The sequence below is a fragment of the Homo sapiens genome, chromosome 13, assembly GCF_000001405.40.
Source record: "Homo sapiens chromosome 13, GRCh38.p14 Primary Assembly".
In the NCBI taxonomy this organism is placed as follows: domain Eukaryota; kingdom Metazoa; phylum Chordata; class Mammalia; order Primates; family Hominidae; genus Homo; species Homo sapiens.
The window spans coordinates 32,820,673-32,845,098 of NC_000013.11; the positions used below are offsets into that span (position 1 = coordinate 32,820,673).

The window sequence follows — 24,426 nt, forward strand, 5'->3', positions numbered from 1 at the left end:
TTGTGTGGCTGATACACATGTGAAGGCAAATCCATAGAGGACAGCTGACATTGCTTTAGGCAAGTGCAGCATCACTGGAATAAGAGTGTCACTGCAAAAGGGCTAGGGTGGGAAGACCCACTTAGGTGTACAAAGCCATGGGGTTTTTTTGCTTGTTTGTTTTTAATTGTTTTTAATTAAGAGTCTCAGCTGGGTGTGGTGGCTCACACCTGTAATCCCAGCACTTTGGGAGGCCAAGGTGGGCGGATCATGGGGTCAGGAATTCGAGACCAGCCTGGGAACATGGTGAAACCTCGTCTCTACTAAAAACACAAAAATTAGCTGGGCATCGTGGCGAGCGCCTGTAATCCCAGCTACCCAGGAGGCTGAGGCAGGAGAGGCAGGAGAATTGCTTGAACCCAGGAGGTGGAGGTTGCAGTGAGCCGAGATTGTGTCACTGCACTCAAGCCTGGGCAACAGAGCAAGACTCCATCTCAAAAAAAAAAAAAAAGTCTCAATTTCATTCCTCGACTAAAACAGGAGCTGAGAAACAAACGAAGCATGGGTCAGAACTGGGGGTAGCGTAGGGAAAAGAGTGGCCGGAGCAGGGCGTGGTGGGCCAAATGAAGCCGGCAGCCTTGAGGACTAGAGGAAGCTGGGTGGTACTTAAAGGGACAATGAACCTTTGGTGGCAGGAAAGTGGCCAGAGGCCAGAGTGCCTTGTGCCAAGGTGAAGGACAAAGTGAATGCCCCAAGGCAGGCACTGGGAGCCGGTGTGCCAATACCCGACATTCTCCAAATCCACAGCAGTGTCCTGATCTCGGGAAGCCTCTGCAGGGAGCCCTCAAAGCATGGCTGCGTGCATTTCCTATGGGCTCTTTTACTCTCTCTATACCTCAAGCTTTGTCTTTGAACAAGCTGAACGGTCTACACTGGATCCTGAGAGCAAAATGCCGTAAAGTTGCAACTTCATTCTTTTCTTCCTTCATCCTTCGGGCAGGGCGCTTTTGCTGTGTCTTTGTGTCCTCTCTGGGTGGTGGATGCAGGGGGATGAGGACCGGCTGAGGAGTCCCCCTGGAGCCCTTGAGGGAGCTTGGAACATAGACAAGTCCCCCTGGCTGTTCGAGGCCATTTCACCTTCGCCAGCGGTTCATCCCTGGGGCTTGGCAGCAGCCTTGCTCAGCGTTGGTTGCCTTTTCTGAGCACTGGCCACTGCTGTGGCTGGTAAAGGCATTTTGGAAGTCCTTATTACGCCCGCCAGCTTCACCTGTCCCTAAAATTTTGATCCCTAAAATTTTCCTCACTTCTTCAAACAACCCCCAAATGTTGCTGCTTTTCATAATCTCAGATTTTTCCTAACTCTTCCTCTCCTTCTTTCCTTTGCAGCACAAAATGCCCACGGGAACCACACCCCTGACATCCATCACCACCCTTTCAACAGTGGCCCTCAAACCTGTCTGGAAAATGATGACATCTGAATTATATCATTTATAAATCATTTATATAATACCAAAGTGCTGGGATTACAGGCGTGAGTGGGGGCAATTTTAAATTAAGAAAATTCTATCGATGAACATAGTCTCCCGTCCCCAAATGGGGATGGAGGGATGATGAAATCCTGGCAGTGGAGCCCCTTGTGCTGCTGTTGGGAGGTGGCAGTATTTTAAGGAAGAAGTAGAAAGCGGGTGAGAATAACATGGATTGAGCACCTGCCATTGACCAAGGCCGGGGCTTTAGAGTTTTCACCCAGGAGTCATTGCGGGTGGGCCCAGAGGACTGGAGAGAGTTAAAAATGGCCAGCGGGTCCCTAGGAAGCTCCAGGCCAGCATTTTTACACCCTGGAGGAGAGCTGAGAAGAAGCTGGAAAGGATAATATTGTAAGAGCTAACACTTATAGTGCTGATTATGTTACACCAAGCACTGTTTTAGGTGCTTACGTGTATTAATTTGTGGAATCCTTGCAACACTGTGTGAGTAGGTGTATTTGAATTATCTCCATTTTACGGACGATAAAACTGAGGCACAAAGAGTTAGCTAGTCACCCAAGGTTACTTAGTAAAGGTGGGATTTACACAAATTATGCTTTTTCACTGCTGCCTTACACCACCTTGCTGAGAACTTCTCCACACGCCACCAGTGTGCTGGCTCATGAAGTCGTGTGTGTGTGTGTATGAATGTATGAGTGTGTGAGTGTGTGCCTGTGTGTGAGCTTGGGGTGAGCAGGAAGCTCCAGTGGTGCTGAGACTGTTTTACTCACTGCTTTGTCCTCGGCACCTAGCACAGTGCTCAGGAAATGTTTGTGGAATCAATGCAGGAATAAATACACTTAGATTTTTCCAAGTACAGGCTCCTGTAGCTCCTTTGTTAGGAGCTATTTTGCGGCTGTCATTATGGCCCAATTTTCTTTTTTCATTTGGGTGAAAAATGATTTTGGCATTTAAACAGCATGACTTCATTATTGATTTTTTTAAAAAATCTGCCCCTACTATCAAATTCCCCTCTTGGCATTTTGTTACTCTGGATATATTTAGAAACATCTTTGTAGTGTTCTCCTTCGTTCTTTTGTATCTAGGATGCATTTTAACAAGGAGTATTCTATGTATGCAAAATTGTTGTATTTTTATTTTTGTTTATCTCCTGCAGTCCATAATAGAGGTTAAGAGTATGCCATTTTGATAACAAAGAACTTTCTTACTATCTTTTTGATTGACTGAATAGGCAAAGGAAACACCATAATTGTGTGAAATGGTCTGATTTAGAAACCAATTATAAGGAATGTAATTATCTACTAATGAAATATGCATGTAAGTCCTTGGTTTGCTGCTTCTAATGTCACTGTAGACAAATGCATAGCCAGGAGAAAACTTGCATAAAGTAAATTGAAAATCACCCATTTCCAGATTATTACTGAAAATCTCCTGACACCTAACATCTCAGAACCAAAAAGAATACCTGCTTTTCACCTGCAAGTGTCTCACTGTGTGTGTATGTATATGTGTGTGTATATGTAACATGCATGTGTATATGTGTATGTATTTGTGTATATATGTGATACGTATGTGTTTATATGTGCATATGCATGTAATATGTGTATGTGTGTACTTGTGTGTGTATGCATGTGCCTGTATGTGTGTGAGTGGGTAAGTGTGTGCGTGTATATGTGTGTGTGTATATGTGTGTGTGCGTGTGTGTGTCTATGTGTGTGCACGTGTATATGTGTGTGTGTATGTGTGTGTATGAGTGTATATGTGTGTGTTGGGGGGTGAGTGGGGTAGTGGGGGCTCAGACGGGGTGTTTTCTGGTCAAACCTTAAGGTCCACAACTACCCCTTTCTGTCTACTGATAATTCTTGATGATTAAATCCATAGGTTTCTCTGGGCTACAAAGCCAGAACTCTAAGGTCCTTTTTTTAAATTATAAGAACGAAAATAGAAGAAATTCCCTTTGGTTCTCTTAGGAAATGCATGATTGAGAAACAGCCCGTTGTCCTCTTCAGTTTTCATATGCCGTGCACAGTGAGACAGGGGAGCAGAGCCCTGGGAGCCGGCGCGCTCTCGAGACGTGGACTGTCGCCCCGGGGAGAAGACAGCAGACTGTGCTTCTGAGCTTTCGCCCTCTCCTTCCCCGGCAGAGGCGCTTGTGAAACGTTTGCTACAGTTGGGGCAGGATGGAGAAGGCAGGGTCAAGCTGCACAGCCCCAGGGCAGTGGTGCCATTCTCCATGGTGCTAACAGACTGTGAGTGGGATGCTGAAATTTTAGGGTCCCATTTCCCACAGACGTTTGCCTTGCTCATGGCTGTGGTATAAGAGCAAATTCTCCTTATCCTAAGCCAACCAAGCTTGCTTTATTAAAATATCTTTTATGCCTTCTTGTCCCCACTTCACTGCTCCAGTCTCTTCACTTCCTGAATTTTGTCAATTCTAAGACACGTTTGGGTACATTTGAGCAATTCGAAGTGGGGATGCCTCTTACAGTCAATGCTTGTCATAGTTTAATTGGCAGCCTTGGGACATAACATAATGGTATGCTTTATAATCTATGGTGCCCTAGGTTTGATGAAATATGACAACTCTATGGGCTTTGCAAAACTGTCTCCCTTTCGAGCCTTGTCATATGCTACTGCTTCATACAAACTCTGTCCCGAAGGATGTTTTGTGATGACTTGTGTCCCTGGAATGCACTTTCTTCCCGGGCGATCTTTGCTCTGGTTTTTCTCTGCCTCTGACGCTTTCTATTACAGCTTCGTCTCTGCCTATGGAAATCCGTCCTCTTCTTCAGGGCCCAGCTCAAAGGCTCATCACCACCTGGAGTCTCCCCTGATGATCTCATCCTGAAATCATCCCTTCCTGCCCTAAAATCTTACAGGGATTTGCTTGTGCTTCCTCATGGCATTTAGAGGCCTTTAAAAAACTAATGATCAAATTATTTATCTTTCTTAATAAATTCTTATCCTTATCTTTCTTGGTATTTGGAAGCAAATATTACATTTATATTCTCAAACAGTTGATTTTTCATGGACAATGTGGTAAGGAATGTTGGGCAAAACTCAACTCCAATTCAGATGGAATATCTGTGTCAATTTTATGCAAAACCTTTCTTTTTTTTTTTTTTAAAAAAAACCACTTTTTGAGTTATGATTGAGATATAAAAACCTGTACATATTTAATGTATACAATCTGATGAGTTTGGAGATGAGTACCATCAGCCTTCCAGATCTACAGTTTCTGCATCTGGGGATTTAACTAACTCGAATCAAAAATATTTGGAGAAAATATATACAAATAATACAAATAAAAAGCAATGCTGTATAGTAACTACATAGCATTTAGGTATTATAAGTAATCTAGAGATGATTTAAAGTGTATGGGAGGATGTGCTTAGGTTATATGCAAATATTATACCATTTTATATCAGGGACTTGAGCATCTACAGGTTTTGGTATCTCTGGGGGTCTTGGAACCAATCCCCCTCAGATATTGAGGGATGACTGAAATCGCCTTTGCAAAATTATAACTGAGGAAATTATGACAGTGCAAGAGATCAGACCTAACTGACTCCATCTTTCTTCTAACTTTTAAGCTGTCCTTGTTCATTCCTGGGCGTAGGCTGAACTAACTTTGGGAAGGAATTCAGTTTATGGATTCCTTAACTGTTTTTGTTCTGAAACAAAATTGATAATAGCCCTTTCTTGAAAAGACCTCTTTCCTGCCTGGGGACAAGTTTGCCTTTGCAGGACTAACAATTTAGCTACAATATTAGAAATTACAGTTTAGGAGTCGTGCAACCTCTGGTTCCGGGAGTCTGAATCTCCCCACCTTGCTCCTGGAGATAACATCATTATTGTAAAACCTAAGATCAGTGCTTGAGTATTTTGCAGACCCTGCACTTGATGGATTAGCTGACACCATGGAGACTGGTAATTTGGCTCAACTAGTTCTGCAACCCCACCTAGGAACAGAAGACAGTAAGAAAACCTCACTTCGACCCTGACCCGCCAAATTATTTTTAAAAACCCTACACCGGGCCTGGTGGCTCACACCTGTGATCTCAGCACTTTGGGAGGCCGAGGTGGGTGGATCATATGAGGTCAGGAGTTCGAGACCAGCCTGGCCAATATGGAGAAACCCCGTCTCTGCTAAAAACACAAAAGTTAGCCAGGTGTGGTGGCGCATGCCTGTAGTCCCAGCTACTCAGAAGGCTGAGACACAAGACTTGCTTGAACCTGGGAGATGGAGGTTGCAGTGAGCTGAGATTGTGCCACTGCCCTCCAGCCTGGGCGACAGAGGGAGACTTTGTCTCAAGAAAACAAAAAACAAAACAAAACAAAAAAAACTCTGGTCCCCAAATGCTCAGGGAGACTGATTTGAGTAATAATAAAACCCTGGTCTCCCACACAGCCGGCTCTGTGTGAATTACTGTTTCTTCACTGAAATTCCCCCGTCATGATAAATTAGCTCTGTCTAGGCAGCGGGCAAGGTGAACCCACTGGGTGGTTACAAATTTGGGGGCTTTCCCGGGATTGCCCTTGTGGTTACCTGACCATGGTTTGGTAGCCCCTCTCTGGCAATAGATCCAGAGGCCAGCCCAAGTGGCTGCCTAGTTCTCTTGAACTGGGGGCTGACTCTGCTACCATCTCCATCCATGGGGCACTGCCGACCCAACGTATATGGATTTAATTGCAGTGGAGAAATAGTCCTGGGGAAACATCCCATAACTGGCCCTATCACAGGGTGTGTCTGTCTGTAGCCCCATTGCAGGGTGTCTCTCTGTAGCCCCATGGGGGGGTGTCTGATTTGTTGAGTATTGTAGGCGCTGCCCACAGCCCCTTTCTTCTCCAGATGTTGGCCTCTCTGGAGGTGCTGTTGTCTCTTGGTAGCCTCTTGGGGTATCTGTCTGCAGCCCCATCATGAGCTGTCTATTTGTAGCCCCGTTATAGGTGTCCATAGCTGTAGCCCTGTTACAGGGTGTCTTATTGGACAGAGAATAGGGGACTTGTTTGGAGGAATACTCTTGGTTTGAAACTGGTTCTGGAATTTGTGTCTTGAAGGCCTTCTGTTCGTTTTACTCTGTGTGTGTGTGTGTGTGTGTGTGTGTGTGTGTGTTTATATGTGCGGAGGGGAACCCTGAAGGAATTGCTGATGAACGAACGTCCAGCAGGCCTAACTCAGGGTGACTGCTCTTCTATCTTGCCTAAAGATGCCCATTGAGTCTGTGGTGGGAGGTTATCTCTCCCCACTGTGAGTGGATTAAAGACAACAGGGACCAACAGGAGACGGTTTGAGCCTTGCCAGATATTGGGTGCTGAACGAGGTGACTAGTGTCTGGTTTGTTACGTGTATTTTGCCTCGGCTGGGATGAAAAATGTTAATTCGGTTCCCCGTGCAACCTGCTGGGCAGCATCTTGCAAAAATAAGAATCTTTTGCCTACGGTTCCGTAAAAGAGAAAAGAGTGATTTTCTTTTATAAAGTGGTTTGACCTCTATAGCTATGGCACAGGGAACTGGGTCATCAAAAGCCGCTTCGTTCTTCTGGAAGCTGCAGAGAAGGGGAACCTGGAAACCTAGTATGCAGGCAAAAAGGGTAAGAATTTCTTACCAGACAAATTTCTGGTATTTCTCTCTCTCTTTCTCTCTCTCTCTCAATCTCTTTCTCTGTCTCTCTATGTGTGTGTGTGTGCTTGAGTGCAAACAGTAAACAACACTGTTTGTCTCCTCTGCAAAGGCAGACTGGTCCCCAGGCAACAAGGGGGACTTTTTGGGAAAGGGTTATTATCAATTCTGTTTCAGAGTCAAACCATGAACTGAATTTCTTCCCAAAATTAGTTCAGCCTATGCCCAGGAATGAACAAGGGCAGCTTAAAGGTTCGAAGCAAGGTGGAGTCAGTTAGGTCTGGTCTCTTTCACTGTCATAATTTCCTTAGTTATAATTTTTGCAAAGGCAGTACACCATATATCTGTGAAACCATCACCACAACCAATGCCATAAGCCTCCTTCAAAAGTTGCCTCTTACTCTATTAATATTTTAATGTGAATCTTTCCATTTAAGGCTCAATTGGAGGATACAAAAATATAAGTAATTAAGAATATTTTACCCTAAACATCTTATTAATTTTTCTAAAAATTCCAGATATATTTTTTCAAATTAAAAAATTTCAGGGAAAGTACAGAAATAAACAGATTTTAGGCCAGGCGCAGTGGCTCATGGCTGTAATCCCAGCACTTTGGGAGGCCGAGATGGGCAGATCTCCTGAGGTCAGGAGTTCGAGACCAGCCTGGCCAACATGGTGAAACCCTGTCTCTACTAAAAATACAAAAATTAGCCAGGCGTGGTGGCGGGCACCTGTAATCCTAGCTACTGAAGAGGCTGGGGCAGGAGAATCACTTGAGCCCGGGAGGTGGAGGTTGCAGTGAGCCAAGATCACACCACTGCATTCCAGCCTGGGCGACAAGAGTGAAACTCCATTAAAAAAAAAAAAAAGGTTTGAATCTGAATTTTTGTCCTTCGTTCTCCAGTTCTAAGCCTTTCATTTTTGGCATTGATGGGGACAGGGAACTAGCCCTTATTCTGAGGGATTTGCCTTAAATGCCAGGATGAATGTTTGGGTTCAATTCTCCTTAGCTCTGAGAAGCCATGGAAAGTTTTGAAGTGAGGGAGGTGGTTGAGAGTGACACCAGTTGGGTGGGGACTGCATTTTCCCCTGTCATGGCCATGGGAAGATGAGCATGGCACCAAGTCAGCCCACAGTTAGCGCTTCGACTGTGTGTCAGGGAGAGGAGGAACGCACGTGTTTGTGAGGAATGCATACCTGGCACCGGGCTTTCCATACTGTATATAAAAATGAGTAAAACTTTGGACATGTCCTAGGTTAAAAGTGTCAAATGTTGAGTCTGAATAAACCGAAGGATGGGACCACAGTAAAAGTAGATAAATAAGATAGAGACATAATTTTAAGAGACCAAATGAGGAGTTCAATTAGGCTCCCCAAGGAAATCTGTACTGTCTTGTGAACCCCAAAATATCTGAGTCAGGTCTCAATCAATTTAGAAAGTTTATCCTCAGGAGGTCCTGACAACATGTGCCCAGGGTGGTCGGGGTACAGCTTGCTTTTGTACATTTTAGGGAGACATGAGACATCAGTCAATACGTGTGAGATGTACATTGGTTCGATCTGATCTGGAAGGGTGGGACAACTCGAAGTTGGCAGAGAAGAGTTATTATCAGTAGAAAGGAATGTCTGGGTTATGACAGGGGGTTGTGGAGACCAAGGTTTTATCATGCAGATGAAGCCTCTAGGTAGCAGGCTCCAGAGAAACTAGATCATAAATGTTTCCCATCAGACCTAAGGTCTGTGTTGATGTTAATGCTGGGGGGATCTAATGAGGCGTGTCCACCCCCGTCTTTCATCATGGCCTGAGCTAGATTTTCAGGTTAACTCTGGAATGCCCTTGGCCAAGAGGAGGGATCCATTCTGATAATTGGGCCTCTTAGAATTTTACTTTTGGTTTACAGTCTCGGCCTTAGATGAAAAACTTCTTTAAGCTATTATCAGCATGTCTGCCTCAGTGTGAGTGAGTTTCAGTTTTCACAGAGCAGGTTTTAGAACAGCAGGAGTGGGGAGCTCTCTGCATCGCTGGTGTAGGGAAAGGGTGGCTGGGGAGGAGGCTCCTTCCCCATGAGCCCAAGGCTGCCCTGGAGGAAGAGTCAGGGCCCAGGCCTGCTCCTGTTTTCCTCTGGGCAAGGGTTATGCCTGCTGGGTGACCTGCAGATTCCTGAGAAGCTGAGTTCCATCTCCAGCACCTCCCCTGCAGGACACACAGTGAGTCAGCCACTGTCAGCCTCTGCTGGGTCTGAATGCTGTGAATAAGGTGGCCTTTGCAGCCACATGCCTTGCACGCACCTTCATCAGCCCTCTTTCCACAAGTCTTACTTACACCTGTGATGCAGCACATAAAGAAAGCTGGGTGAGTCACCGAGTGTCATGGTGAGAAACGGACTTTTTGTCATTTCTCCTGGAGACACCAAGAGTTAATATTGCATGGGCGTTGAGGCAGCCGGTGTCATCCGGCAAATAAGTATTCCAGTGTGTTCTCACTCCCCCATCACTCAAGATTCTTCCCTGCAGGAAACTCGCAACCAAACAAAAGGGTTGTTTTCTTACTCCCTTAGGTGACAGCAATATTGAATCATTGCATCGATCTGTCTTCTTATGGCTGGCTTTGTGTCTTTTAAGTGAGAAAGGGATACACAGCCTAACTGCACATCTTAAGAGCTTTGCCTTGTTTTTCAGAGCACGGCATGGCAATGGTAACAAGCATATACTGTCCACAGAAGGCGTTGTGGTCTCCCCACGGAACGGTTTATTGGCAATGCAATTTTCTTAATTCAGCTCCAAAGCAATTAAACATATTGAGCATCTGTTATGGGTAGTCTCGGGGCAGGGAGGGGGAGTGCAATAATGAATAAGAAATCATCGTTCACTGAGAGTTTCATTCATTTCTTTATTCAACAAATCCCTGTTCTAGGCACTGGTGACACCACAGGGAATAAAATAGAAAAAGTTCCTGCCCACATGTTGTTTTATTATAGCAGGGGCAGGAAACACCATCATAGCAGGCAGTGATACGTCATAGGAAGCAGGATGGTCAGAAAGACTTCTCTGAAGAGGCGGCATTTGGGTAGAATTGAATACCTCAGTGAGTGAGTGTGGGTTACCTGGGGGAGGAAACCCCTAAGTGAGGGCAGAGGCCTTGAGGTGGGAGCCTGTCTATTATGTCTGAGGAACAATGAGGAGGCAGTGTCGCCAAGCTTAGGGAGCAAGGGGAGCTCTGCAGGCCATGAAGGTCAGAGAGCCAGGCCAGATGGTGCAAGGGTTAGGGGCCACTTACGGACCTGGATTTTATGTCATTTCAGTTTAATTTTTGCATTTGGGTTTTTTATTCTTTTTTTAGCATATGGGACTTTGAAAAGTAAAACTTTTTACTGAAACATAACCAACACAGAGACATACAAAATCCTCAATGCATAGACACAGCACTTGTGTCTGTGTTACACTTGTGTAACCAGTGCTCAGAGTGAGCAATCGAATTTCACCAGCGCCCCCACCCTAGTGGCCTGTCTCAGTCACCCTCCCCTCCCCACGGAGAGCCACTATCTGATTTCTAGAAAGATAGACTGAGTCTGAACTTTATGTAAGTGGAATCATACGGTATGTACTCTTTTATATCTGGTTTCATTCATTCAGTATTATGGTTGCGAGATTCTTTCATGTTATGGGTTATAACTGTTCATTCTTGTTGCTATTTTCCAGTGTATGAACATTCCACAGTTTATTTGTCTATCCACTAGGGTTGTTTCCAATTTTTGGCTAATACAAATACAGCTTCTAGGAGCATTCATGTATGTGTCTTTTGGTCTATATATATGCGTTTCTGTTGAGTATAATAAACCTAGAAGTGGAATTGCTGGTTCGTGGGCCATATATGTGTTCAACTTAGTAAATATTGCCAAATATTTCCATAGCGCTTGTATCAGTTCACTCCCACCAACATTAAATAAAAGTTCCCATTGCTCCATATTCTTGTCAGCACTTGGAATAATTTGTAATGTTTGTTTTAGCCATTTTGATGTATATGTAGTGGTATTGCATTGTGATCTTAATTTGCATTTCCCTGATAACTCATGAAGTTAAGCACCTTTTCATATGTTTGTAGGCCATAATTAGGAAATCTACTTTTGTGAAGTACCTGTTCAAATCTTTTGCCCAGGATTTTTTCTGTTAATTGACCGTCTTTTAAAAACAGGTTATAGGCATTCTTTGTGTATGCTGGACATAGGTCTTTGACTGGATATTTATACTGCAAGGAACTTCTCCCACTCTGTGGTTTGCATTTTCATCTCTTAACGATATCTTTTAGGGGAAAATTTCTTGATTTTAACATAGCTCATAGGTTTTGATGACAGGCCTCATAAGTAAGTTACAGGGTAATACTGGCCTCATAAGTGAGTTGGGAAGTATTCCCTCATCTTCTAGGTTTTTTTCTTTTTCTTTTCTTTTTTTTTTTTTTTTTTGAGATGGAGTCTTATTCTATTGCCTGGGCTGGAGTGCAGTGGCTCAATCTCGGTTCACTGCAACCTCCACCTCCCGGGTTCAAGCGACCCTCTCTCCACAGCCCCCTGAGTAGCTGAGACTACAGGTGTGCACCACCATGCTTGGCTAATTTTGTATTTTTTAGTAGAGACAGGGTTTAGCCACGTTGGCCAGGCTGGTCTCGCACTCCTGACATCAAGTGATCCACCTGCCTCGGCCTCTCAAAGTACTGGGATTACAGGCGTGAGCCACTGCACTCTTCTCTGTTTTTTAAGAGTTTGTTAAGAATTGGTTTGAGTTCTTCAAATGTTTGGTATAATTTCAATGGTGAGGCCATCTAGGCTTGAGCTTTTCTTTGTGTATAGTTTATGGATTACTAATTTAATCTATTCACTTCTTATAGATCTATTCAGATTTTGTATTTCTTTTCAAGTCAATTGCAGTAGTTTGTCTTTCTAGGAATTTGTCCATTAATCATCTAAGTTATCCAAGTTATTGGCATACAATTATTTGTAGTATTCCTTTATAATCCCTTTTATTTCTGTAAGACTAGCAGTAATGTCCCCTCTTTTATTTCTGTTTCTAGTAACTTGAGTCTTCTTTCTCTTTTTTTCTTGGTCAATATAGCTAAAGGTTTATCAATTTATTTGATGTTTTTGAAGAACCAGGTTTTGATTTCATTGATTTTGTCTGTTATTTTTCTATTATTTTCTTTCATTAATTTCTGCTCTGATCTTTATTATGTCCTTAGTTTTGCTTGATTTTGGTTTATTTCGCTTCTTTTTCTATGTCTTCAGGTAGACGTTTAGGTTAGGTTATTGATTTTAGATTTTTCTTCTTTCTTAATATAGGCATCTAGAGTTAAAAATTCCCTCAAATCACTGCCTTCACTCTATCCCACGAGTTTTGGCATGTTGTGTCTTCATTTTCATTTAGCTGAAAGTATTTTCTAATTTCTGTTTTGATTTCTTATTTGACCCTTTTTTTAATTGAGAAATGTATTCTCTTATTTTCACATATTTGTGAATTTCCTAAATTTCTTTCTGTTACTGATTTCTAATTTCATTTAATCATGGTCAGATTATATGCCTTATATTATTTTTATTCTTTTGAATTTATTAAGATTTGATTCATGGTCTAGCATATGGTGTATATGGGAGAATGTTCCATGTGCACTTGAGAAGAAAGTATATTCCATTGTTGTTGGGTGTAGTGTTCTATAGATGTCTGCTGGACCTAACTGATTTATAGTGTTGTCCAAATTTCTATCTCTTTTCTCATTTGTTGCCTAGTTGTTATATCTATTATTGAAAATGAGGTGTTGAACTCTCCCACTATTATTGTTGAATTGTCTATTTTTCCCTTCATTTCTGACAGTTTTTGCCTCATATATTTTGGTGCTGTGATATTAGGTACATATATGTTTATAATTGTTATATCTACCTGATGGATGAAACTTTTTATCGTTATAAAATATTCATGTCTGTTTTGTCTGATATTGGCATAGTCATTCTAGTTTTCTTGTGGTTTCCGTTTGTATGATATATCATTTTCCATCTTTTTACTTTCAATCTATTTGTATCTTTTAATCTAAAGTGTGTCTCAGGTACGTAGCTAACATATAGTAGGATTTTTAAAAATCCAATCTGACAGTCTCTGCCTTTTGATTATATTGTTTAATCCATTCACATTTAATGTTTCTAGTTGGATTTACATCTGCCATTGTACTTTTTTTCTATGTGTCTCATGTCTTTTATTCTTCAATTGCTTCTTTACTACTTTCTCTTGCATTATTTAAATATTGTCCAGTGATATATTTATGTTTCTTTAATTAGGTTTTCACTGTGTTTAAAAAATTTCTTTACATTGGTATCTCTAACACTTACCATATTCACCTTGATTTATCAGAATCAGCCTCTGATTTACACTAGCTAATTCTAGTGAGATATGGAAGCATTACTTCTGTTTAGCTTTATTCTCTTCCCCTTCTTTTGCATTATTATTATTATTATACGTGTTACATTTATTCACATTACAAGCCCAACAATATATTGCTATAAAGACTTTATCATTTGTAATCATTTTTATACAGCTTTGCTTCCACCCGCCTCCTTTTTTCTATCATTGACAAATATATTACACAGAAATACATTACATTATGGAAATTTAATATAGATATCACATTTCTGTATGTTATGGGTTCAATAATATGAGGAGTCTTCACAAAATTCATGGAAAATGAATATTATGAAAAACTATGCATAGGTTTCAAACTTTTTTTGTACCAAAATAAACTTGTATTAATGTTTTATTAATGTCTGAATAGGATGTAGTTTGAGTTGATGTTGAAGATGGAGACCATGGTGCAGACTATACACATCAATTTTTGGTGCCCTAATTTATGCACCAATTGAAGATAACTAACAATAATACTACAAATAATGCCAACACCACAGACATCTCAGTTGGTTCAGCTTACACAATTCTGAAGGAAGAATTAATGTTGAGCAAAGTTTCCCCTTGATGGGTGCCAAAACTGTTGTGCCCACACCAGCTGCAGGCAACAGAGCTTTCGATGGAAATTTTAAACAAGTGGTATCAAGATCCTGAAGCATTTCTTTGAAGAATTGTAATAGGAGATGGAACATGGCTTTGCCAGTACTATCCTGAAGACAAAGCACAATCAAAGCAATGGCTACCAAGCGTTGGAAGTGGCCTAGTTAAAGTAAAAGGAGACCAATCAGAGCAAAAGTCATGGCAACAGTTTTTTGAAATGCTCAAGGTATTTTGCTTGTTGACTTTCTGAAAGGCTAAAGAACAATAACACCTGCTTGTTATGAGAGTGTTTTGAGAAAGCTAGCCAAAGCTTTAGCAGAAAGGTGCCCACAAAGCTTCACCAGAGTCCTTCTCAACTACTATGAATGCTTTTGTTCATTCCTCTCATCAAACAAGGGAAGTTTGGGGAGAGAGTTTTGATGGGAAATCATTAGGCATCCACCTTACAGTTCTGATTTGGCTCCTTCTGATTTCTTTTTGTTTCCTAATCTTAAAAAAGTCTTTAAAGGGCACCCACTTTTCTTTAGTTATAGTGTAAAAAAGTGGCTCTCAAGTAGGGACATGTTTCACTAACCAGGGACTACAGTTCTTTAAGGATGGACTAAATGATTGGTGTCATCACTTACAAAGTTGTCTTGAGCTTGATGGAGCATATGTTGAAAGGTAAAGTTTATACTTTTTGTTTTTATCTTTTAATTTTATTTTCCCATTAACTTTCTGAAGGCCCTTTGTATATTATATACATATTATTATATACAATTGCTTTTAAAATCAGTGAAGAGAAGAAAGGAGAAAAAAATTGCAGTTAAACTGTCTTTTATAATGGCATAATTATTTTACTGTTGCTCTTTGTTATTTTCTTGCAGATTTGAATTACTGCCTTGGGTCACTTGCTTTCAGCCAGAATCTGTCCACTCTTTTTTAGTATCTTTCACTGGTTGATTCTCTTCTTCCCACCCAGAGTTCATGTTCCCTAGAATTTAGTCTTTGGCTTTTTTCACTGTCTTTAAGCAAAAATTTGTTTTCTCATGGCTTCAATTTCCATGTAGTTGACAAGGACCAAATTTATGTATTAATCTTCAGTCTTGATTTCTCTTTTGATCCCCATATCCATCAACTTACTATACAACTCCTCCTATATATCCCTCCCCGTGGGGTACCTAACACAAAATGTCAAACCAAATTCATTACCTTTCCTAATAAAATTTATGCCATGGGATTCCCCCATCCACCCCAGACTACGTATCTACACATATTCCTTTATTGCTTTTCTTCCTTGTCTTCCCTAGACCCAGTGCTCACTATGTTCTTCACAACATCTCTGTTCTTCCAAAGCTCCTGTCCCTCCTTTCATACTCACCTCTCCATCTTGATTCTCTTCCTCTGCTTTTATAGCCATTTGTAACCTCTTTTATAGCTTCTTTTGTAACCTTTTATGATGGTGGCTCTCAAATGGGCACATTTGGCAATGTCTGGAGATTTTGGTTGTCACAACTGGCAAGGAGGTAGGGGAAAGTGCTACTGGCATTTAGTGGTAGAGGTCAATGATGCTACTAAACATCCTACAGTGCACAGGGCAGCCCCCACAACAAATAATTATCCAACTCCAAATGTGAACAGTGGCAAGACTGAGAATTCCTGTTTTAATGCAAAAAGGAATAAGTTCAGATTTTGTAGCAGCTGAAGCAAATATAATTTGGGGGAGCCTCTTTAAGCAAAAAATATAAAATCACAAATAGAAAATTGGCTAGATTCTTTTTTTTTTTTTTTTTTTTTTTGAGATGGAGTCTCGCTCTGTGTCCCAGGCTGGAGTGCTGTGGTGCAATCTTGGCTCACTGCAACCACTGCCTCCCGGGTTCAAGCAATTCTCCTGCCTCAGCGTCCTGAGTAGCTGGGACTACAGGCAATGTGACATCACGCCCGGCTAATTTTTTTGTTTTTAGTTGAGATGGGGTTTCACCATATTGGCCATGCTGGTCTCAAACTCCTGACTTCAAGTGATCCACCCGCCTCGGCCTCCCAAAGTGCTGGGATTACAGGTATGAGTTTCAGCGCCTGGCTGAAAATTGGCTAGATTCTTTGTTTGGTCTGCTATAACAAATGACCACAAACTGTGTGGCTTATAAACAAAAAAAAATTATTTCTCATAGTTCTGGAGGCTGGGGAGTCCGAGATGGAGGTGCTGGCAGCTTTGGTGTCTGGTGGGGGTCTGCTTCCTGGTTCATAAATGGCTGTCTTTTCACTGTGTCCCCGCAGGTGAAAGGGACAAGAGAGCTCTCTGGGGCTTCTTTTATAAGGGTAATAATCCTATTTGTGAGGGCTCTGCCTTCATGATCTAACCATCTCCCAAAGGCCCCACCTCCAAGTACCATTACTTTGGGGATTGGATTTCACCATGTGAATGTGATGTGTGGGGGGTTGGGGTACAGACATTCACATATAGCAGCTAGGAATGCAAATATTTATCTAGCATAAGAAAAGAAATCACAAAAACTACTAGAGTTTTAGATATCCAGGTCTCATTCTTCAGAGATATTTTTAGGGACATTTTCAGAAATGCCTCCTGTTTGCAACCTGACTTCCACTCCCCACCTAGACCACCCCAGGAACCAGTCTGGTGCAAGTAAAGAGCCCAGTTGCTTAAGCTTCATTATCTTCAGGATAAATCTGCTTCTGACTGTATCATTTGTCATATTTGCATTGCAATTGTCTATAGCAGGAAGGGAAAGACTAGAAACCTAACACAATTTGCTTCCTCCTTCTAGAAGATGTTCATATGCATGAGTGCGTGTGTGTGTGTACATGAGTGTGAGTATGTATGTATGTGTTTATGTATGTGTGTGTATGTAAGTGCATGTGTAAATGAGTGTATGAAGATATGTGAGCGTGCATGCACATGTGTGTCATGAGTCAAAGCATAAATGAGATAAATCTCCACTGCATCTTTCTGCTCAGAGGTGCTATTAAGAGGGGGAGGGGCCTGAGAATCTGATCCCGTTAAAAGACTGTAATTTGCACTGTCAAAACCTGGAGTCTTCTACTAGATGGCGCTTGGTTAGCAGTCAACCCAATGAGCCTTCTAACTTATAAGGCAAGAGCTGGAGAGATACGCAGGCAGGGAAGGGACTTTTCATGACAAAGTGGGAGAGAATCAGGTTTTTCTGCCACAGAGAGAGGGGAAGCTGGGTGCTCTGCCGGAATGACCCCAGCAGAGTGGTTTCTAGAGTGAGATCCAGGATGCAGGCCAGAGCAGTTTGTAAAAGCCTCAAGGCCAGGTGAGCTATGGAGGAGGGAATTTGGAAGGCGCAGAAACTAAGAGCCAAAGATCAGTAGGCGGTGGGAGGGGGTTGGGCTCAGAAAAGCTATTTTTATTAAAATATTACAAAATGTAACTTCCCAATATTGGTGACATCGTGAACACCTAGGCAGCCTGATTTGTTCCTGTTACTGTCTCCCAACATGGGAAGTGAACTCCTCCGGAAAATGAAAAGGGCCTTCATTTGAGCACACCTAGAACATCTGACATCCAGCACAGCAGGGGGCTTGGTTGTTGAATTAAATCAATCAATGAGTGAGGGATGAATAAGGATGGGAGAGAATCAAGAGAGAATAGAGAGACCAGGCATGCTAGAGCGGGCCAAACAAGCCCGAGTAATCTAGGCTGAGATTAGACATGAAATCCACAAGATCAAATTCGGCTGGGCTGAGACGCGCAGCAGCCACATTTTCCTGAGCAGAGAGGTGAGAGCGCTGCAGGGTCCCATCCAGCTGGGCTGTGAGGTCGCAGAGGAGGATCTTTACTCTGGCTGGGGACTGTATTTCCAGGCTTTTTTTTTTTTTTTTTAAGGCAGCCGCTGACCACTTGCCTTGATTATAAGAAGTATTGCTTGAGTGACTTTGCTCTGCCTGGACAATACTCAGTGAAGCGATGATGTACGGCAGCCATTGAGAGCAGTTGCAAACCCATCCCTGGGCCAGCGAGATAATATTGCTGTGTTCTCCAGAAGGTCCTTCTCCGGAATTTGCTATCCTTCTTGTGGCTGTAGTTGAACAAACTTACATTTGACTTAAAGGGAGGTGTTTATCTAAGCTGTCTTCCTTTTAGGAAAAATAATGGACACAGTGACGTGTAAATCCACTGAGCACCTTGGACATCACAACCAGAGGGTCATGTGCCCCTGAGATTGAGTGGACTATACCTTGGGGGATGGGAAAGGTGGGGGCGGGGTGAAAGCCCGCAGTTACATTCAGACAGCACAGCCCTGGAAATGGATCTTAATTCATTTCACAAGCAATTCCAATGTGCTACAGCAGCTGAGCCCTGTCTGCATTTGCTTGTTTGTTTAGCAAAGGGAAATGTCCTTAGCCTAGCAGCCTGCACGAACTGTTTGCCTAGAGACAGTCACAATAATTGAGCCAACCTGGAAGGCAGGAAATAGGGCCTTAGAGGCCCTACTTCTACTTTTAGAAGTAGGTTTTGGTTTCTTTTTTTAAAGAGGTATTTAAAAAATGGCTATGCAATTTTCCATCCCCCCCAAATGAACCATATTTTTAAGACTGTCTCTGTTTTGTAGCTCTTATTTTCTGAGTGTCACATAGAAGGCACTCAAATAAATATTGCTTCAATACATTTGGTTTGTTTCCAGTTTTTGCCTTTTTTTTTTTTTGAGACAGAATCCCACCCTGTTCCCAAGGCTAGGGTGCAGTGGCGCCATCTTGGCTTACTGCAACCTCCGCCTCCTGGGTTCAAGCCATTCTCCTGCCTCGGCCTTCTGAGTAGCTGAGACTACAAGTGTGTGCTATCATGCCTGGCTAATTTTTGTATTTTAGTAGGGACGGCGTTTCTCCATGTTGGCCAGGCTGGTCTTGAACTCCTGGCCTCAAGTGATCCACCGCCTTGGCCTCTTTAAGTGCTGGGATTATAGGCATGGGCCATCAGGCCCTGCCCCAGTTTTTGTCTTTTTAAGCAATGACGCATTCAACCCATGGGTACCTGCAAGCTGTGCATGCATCTGATTACTTTCTTGGGATAAATTCATTTATTCCTACAAATAAATTAGAGCACCTTAGGGTGTGTATAAATTACTTGGTGGGGTGGGTCTTATTTCAATGCGGGATCTGATTCCATAGGTCTGGGATGGGGCCTGAAAGTCTGCTTTTTTAAGAATCTTCTGAGGTGTGCCAGTGCTGCTGGTCTGGGGACCACACTTTGAGATGCAAGGCCCTAGGTACCACCATAAGCAAGTGGAGCAGTGCCCAGCCAGGGTGGTGGCTCACCTCCTGGAGGCAGATTAGAGCAAACCAGGCCCCTGTAGATTCGGGGAAAGGAGAACATTAACCCTGTCTCCAGTATCAACTCCCAGACTCTCCGGTGTGAATTTCTGCCTCTGCTCTCATGAAATGTCAGAAAGGGTAAAGATATCTCAGTGGCGAATTTTGTGATCTATTTGGAATCAAATGGTTGCTTTGGGAGCCCAGAGGAATTATTAATGAGCCAATAAATGGGATACTGGCAACTTGCCAATTGCTAATAGTGTCCCTCCAAGCGGCAGATGGGGAGCAGGTCATAATAGTGGTCAGCTCAGAGGCTGGCTTTGCTAGGGATAGTCACACTGTGGTCCCCCCAACTTTGCTTAAGGCTTAGAGCAAGCTGCTCCCCGCCTTTCTCCTCTGTGGAAATGTGAGGAGTGCTTGCCTTATCCTGTCCTTGGTCAGCAGAAAACCCTTTCTTAGGGGAAATTTGACCCTTGATGGCTATTTTCCTTTGTCCAGTTTTCCGCCTTTATTTATTTATTTTTTAAATTATTATTATTATTATTATTATTAATTATTTTGAGACAGGGTCTTACTCTGCTGCCCAAGCTGGAGTGCAGTGGCATGACCTTGGCTCACTGCAACCTCCACCTCCTGGGTTCAAGTGATTCTCCTGTCTCAGCCTCCTGAGTAGCTGGGACTACAGGTGTGCACCACCACACCCAACTAATTTTTTGTGTATATTTTGGTAGAGATGGGGTTTCGCCATGTTGGCCAGGCTGGTCTTCAACTCCTGAATCCAGTGATCCAACCGCCTCGGCCTCCTAAAGTGCTGAGATTACAGGTGTGAGCCACTGCGCCCGACCAATTGTACTCCTTCTTATACTTCCAGAAACTGTTTTCTTCAAGGCAGTATCCAAGGGGGCTTGTCAGAGAGAGGCAGGAAGACCCTGTGGGTAGCACGCGGCATCCAAGAACATCCCTTCTGGCAGATTTCCAAATGAAATCTGAGATCTGGCTTTTGGCTGACCTTCAGGGATAGCCTTAAAAGTTGCTGCGGTTTTACCTGGTCTTATGAACGGTTTCATTTGGAGAGCTTTCCCCCTGAGGTGGAATGCAATCTAAAAACTAAATAAAGAAATGATTCATCAAAAGCATCTTTTGACCAACGAGGGGAACAAAATGACTGCTTCCATCCAGCCCTGTGTCTGCTAAGAGCTGAATGACTTGAGAATGTGGAAGACATGTCACTAAATGCTGCAGTTACTTTCAGGTGGTCTGCTACATCTGTGTTTCTGCTGGTTCGACCGCCTGAGAGGAAATTTTGCCCTCAGCAGGCAGTTCCAGGGAGTTGAGGCATGCAAGCCACCATCCAGGCCCCCTAGGAAGGTAGGAGAGGCCTGGAAAACTTGGGTGTGCTTTAGCTCGGCTACATGACCCAGCTGGGGAGACAAACTGGAGCCATGCCCACTGTTCTGGGACCCCAGCCAATGTGGCACATTCACAGGAGTGAAAACTAGAGACCAGCCTGACCCACACATCAGTCTCATTTCCCAGGGGAAGCCGTGTCTCCCACCATGAAGTTCGGTGATTCCTGTCTCTTCTGTGTAACACTCTCATGTCACTTCTGCTTTTCATCTTGAAAAAGTTATTTACCAATTCATCTTTACTCCCTAACTTCTAAGCTTCTTGGAGACTCTGTTAGGTCCCTCTCCACTCGGTAGCCTTTGCACATAATAGACTCTTGGGCTCTTTTGAGTGAATAACTAGTGGAGGATTAGATAGGTCCCAGTCAATCTAAGAGGGCTCCCTGGAGGAGATGACTTCCCTCCTAGGTTTTAAAGGAAGCGGTGGTCTCTTGGATTTGTTGAATTATCCCCTAGGTTCTCCTTTTCCCTATTTTATTTATTCTCTACCTCCCTATTCTTATTTTTAAATGTGACTGATCCTCCATGTCCATATATATATGTGTATCTATATACACACACACATACACATATACATTAGAGGTTGAGCATTCCTAATCTGAAAACCTGAAATCCAAATTTCAAAACTTTTTGAGTATCAACATGACACCACAAGTTAAAAATTCCACACATAAGGACTTAACATAACTTTGTTTCATGTTAACATAAACTTTGTTTCATGCACAAAATTATTAAAAAATTGTATAAAATTACTTTCAGTCTACACACAAAGGAATATATGAAACAAATGAATTTTGTGCTTAGACTTGGGTCCATCCCCAAGATATCTCATTATGTATATGCAAAGATTCCAAAATCTGAAAAAATCCGAAATCTGAAACATCTCTGGTCCTAAGCATTTCAGATAAGGGATACTCTTTGTGTGTGTGTATGTGTATGTGTGTGTGTGTGTGTGTTTGTATATATTATCAAAGGAAAGAGTATTGTGTGTGCGCGCGCGCACACACACACACACACACACACAATACTCTTTCCTTTGATAATATTAACCCTCATCTACATTTAGATGACTTCTCCCTTGCTCTCAAACTTCAATTTCACATTTCTAAATACCCTGTGGCTGGCAGCCTCTGAGATAGACCCTAATGATTCCTGCCTCCTGGTACTGATGACTTTGTAAGATTATATTCCCTTTGAGTAACTTGCTTCTAACAAATATGGCAATATGAGAGATGTCACTTCCATGATTAGGTTACAAAAGATTGTAATGTCCCTCTTGCTAGAAGACTGTCTGTGTGGCCTCCTTGGCTTGCATGCTTCCATGCAGCTGCTGTGTTGGAGAGGCCCACATGGCAAGGGACTGAGAGTGGCCTCTGGCCAGTAGCCAGCAAGGAACTGGGGTCTCCAGGCCAACAGCTCATGAAAAATGGAATTCTGACAACCATATGAGTGGGCTTGGAAGTGGACCCAACCCCAGCTGAGCCTTCAGATGAATACGCAGTGCCAGCTGATGCCTTGACCACAGCTGTGTGAAAGATCCTGGAACAAAAGCACCAGCTAATTCCTGACCCACATAAGTTGTTAGATAATAAATGGGTATTGTTTTAAGCCACGGATTTTTTGAAATAATTTGTTACACAGCAACAGATAACTAATACATACTGTCAATCTAAATAACAAACAGAGAGAAGCTCTCTAGAAGAAAAATATATTTATTCCGGAGTAGGACATTGCAATGGGAATAGAGGTGTATTAGCAAACTGTGTGTGTATCCAGGGAGGTAAAGGAGGGAAAGGTTTTTAAAGAAAAATGAGGAGGATTACATAATTGTTTTGAGATAATTATCCTTGGGTACAAGGATCAATAACAAGGGTGACGCCAGTTTGAGGTTGCACAGGCGGTTGCTGGGCAGATGTCCTCAAAGACGTATATTTTTGTGTGTGAGGTTGTGATGGTCTTTGTGCAAAGTTGTGGCTTTTGCAGTTTTTTGAGATAGTTTTTGTTATCAGGCGTTTAGGTATGAGAATCCTCTCATCATAGCCTTCCCTGGCTCTATTTGTCAGGGTTTTTTTGTTTTTGTTTTTGGTGCCACACACTTTTAAACAACCAGATCCATGAGAACTCACTATCATGAAGACAGCACCAAGTGAGGATGAAATTAAACCATGAGAAATCACCCTCCCCCCAAGTCCAATCACCTCTGACCAGGCCCCACCTCCAGCATTGGGGATTACAATTCAACATGAGATTTGGGTGGGGACACAGATCCAAACCATATCAATGGAGAAACAGTGTGGGAGGCTCTCTGAGGTCCATACAGTTCTTTCTGGGCTGCAGTACCCCACAAAGGAGGCTTCCCTGCCAACGTTTGTGTGGTCACAAGCACTCATTTGTTTATGGTGTATGTCTTATCAAAATGGCAAAAATACTCCTTTTTACTGCCATTTTGGAGGAAAAATCCCATTAAGAGCTGATCATTTGAAAGGGAAAAAAGTCTACATGCCAAGAAAAAAATTTTCTCTTCTAATAAAGACCTTTTCCTGTTAAAAAAAAAAAACCCAAATAACCCAAAAAACACTGGTGACTCCAGTTCAATTCTGACAACTTTCACAATATGCCATGACTTTTGTCGCTGGAATATCAAGACTGAACTCATCACCTTCACCCTAGTTTTCCCTGACCAGCTCCTTCTGCTAATCCCCCTGCCCCGGTTCTTGGCCTCTCAGTCCCTATCTACCCAGTCTGTAGGCTTGGAAGCCCTTCTCACTCCTGCTCCCTCATCTGTATTTCTACATCTTGGGTCCTGCTCATTCTCCTTGTGCTGGTCCTAGGAGTGTCTGCCACGAAGGCCTTTGCCAGGTGGAAAGCTCCTTCCTCTTTCCCAGGGTGGGCCTGCATCATCGGGCTCCTCTGCTTCCAGAGGCTTCCTCCTCCAAACAAGATGCCAAAGGAACCTTTCAGTATCACTTTCTCTAGGCAATTCTTTTTTTTCTTTTTTTTTCTTTTTGAGATGGAGTTTCGCTCTTGTCACCGAGGCTCGAGTGCGATGGCATGTCCTTGGCTCACTGCAACCTCCACCTCCAGATTCAAGCGATTCTCCTGCCTCAGCCTCCAGTGTAGCTGGGATTACAGGCACACGCCATCACACCTAGCTAATTTTTTTGTATTTTTAGTAGAGACTGGTTTCGCCATGTTGGTCAGGCTGGTCTTGAACTCCTGACCTCAGGTGATCCACCTGCTTCAGCCTCCCAAAGTATTGGGATTACAGGCATGAGCCACCATGCCCAGCCGGCAATTCTTTTTATTACAGCCCTTCAGTGGCTCCCTCTTTTCTTCTCCTCCATTGGTGGTCAACATTGGCCTGTCTCTAAAGTCCTCCCAGATCCACCCCCTTTCACAGTCCTGCCTTCCCCCCTGTCTCTTCTACCCTGTAGGGTGCTCTCCTCACCACTCACACATATGCCTCATTGATGCCAACATTTAGGTCTCTGCTCACCTTGGTGTGGTCGCTCATGCCTGTCATCAGCATTTTGGGAGGCTGTGGCAATAGGATTGCTTGAGGCCAGGAGTTCGAGACCAACCTGGGAAACACAGAAAGACCTCATCTCTACAAAAAAATTTA

The 24,426-nt window shown here is 42.9% G+C and overlaps 1 long non-coding RNA gene across 1 annotated transcript in view, besides 2 other annotated features; it reads right to left on the reverse strand.

Moving 5' to 3' along the window:
* The window catches only part of LINC00423 (long intergenic non-protein coding RNA 423), a 102,463-nt gene that overhangs the window by 11,483 nt on the left and 66,554 nt on the right, over positions 1–24,426 (reverse strand). The window lies entirely within an intron of this gene.
* Positions 558–726: a silencer, noted in NCBI's record as "fragment chr13:33395368-33395536 (GRCh37/hg19 assembly coordinates)". NCBI's record gives its function as "represses an EF-1alpha promoter that drives an FKBP-Casp9 reporter gene in an ReSE screen in HepG2 liver carcinoma cells {active_cell/tissue: HepG2}" and the evidence as "EXISTENCE:reporter gene assay evidence [ECO:0000049][PMID:32094911]".
* Positions 16,729–16,888: an enhancer, noted in NCBI's record as "active region_7565". NCBI's record gives its function as "activates an Ori minimal core promoter by ATAC-STARR-seq in GM12878 lymphoblastoid cells {active_cell/tissue: GM12878}" and the evidence as "EXISTENCE:reporter gene assay evidence [ECO:0000049][PMID:35858748]".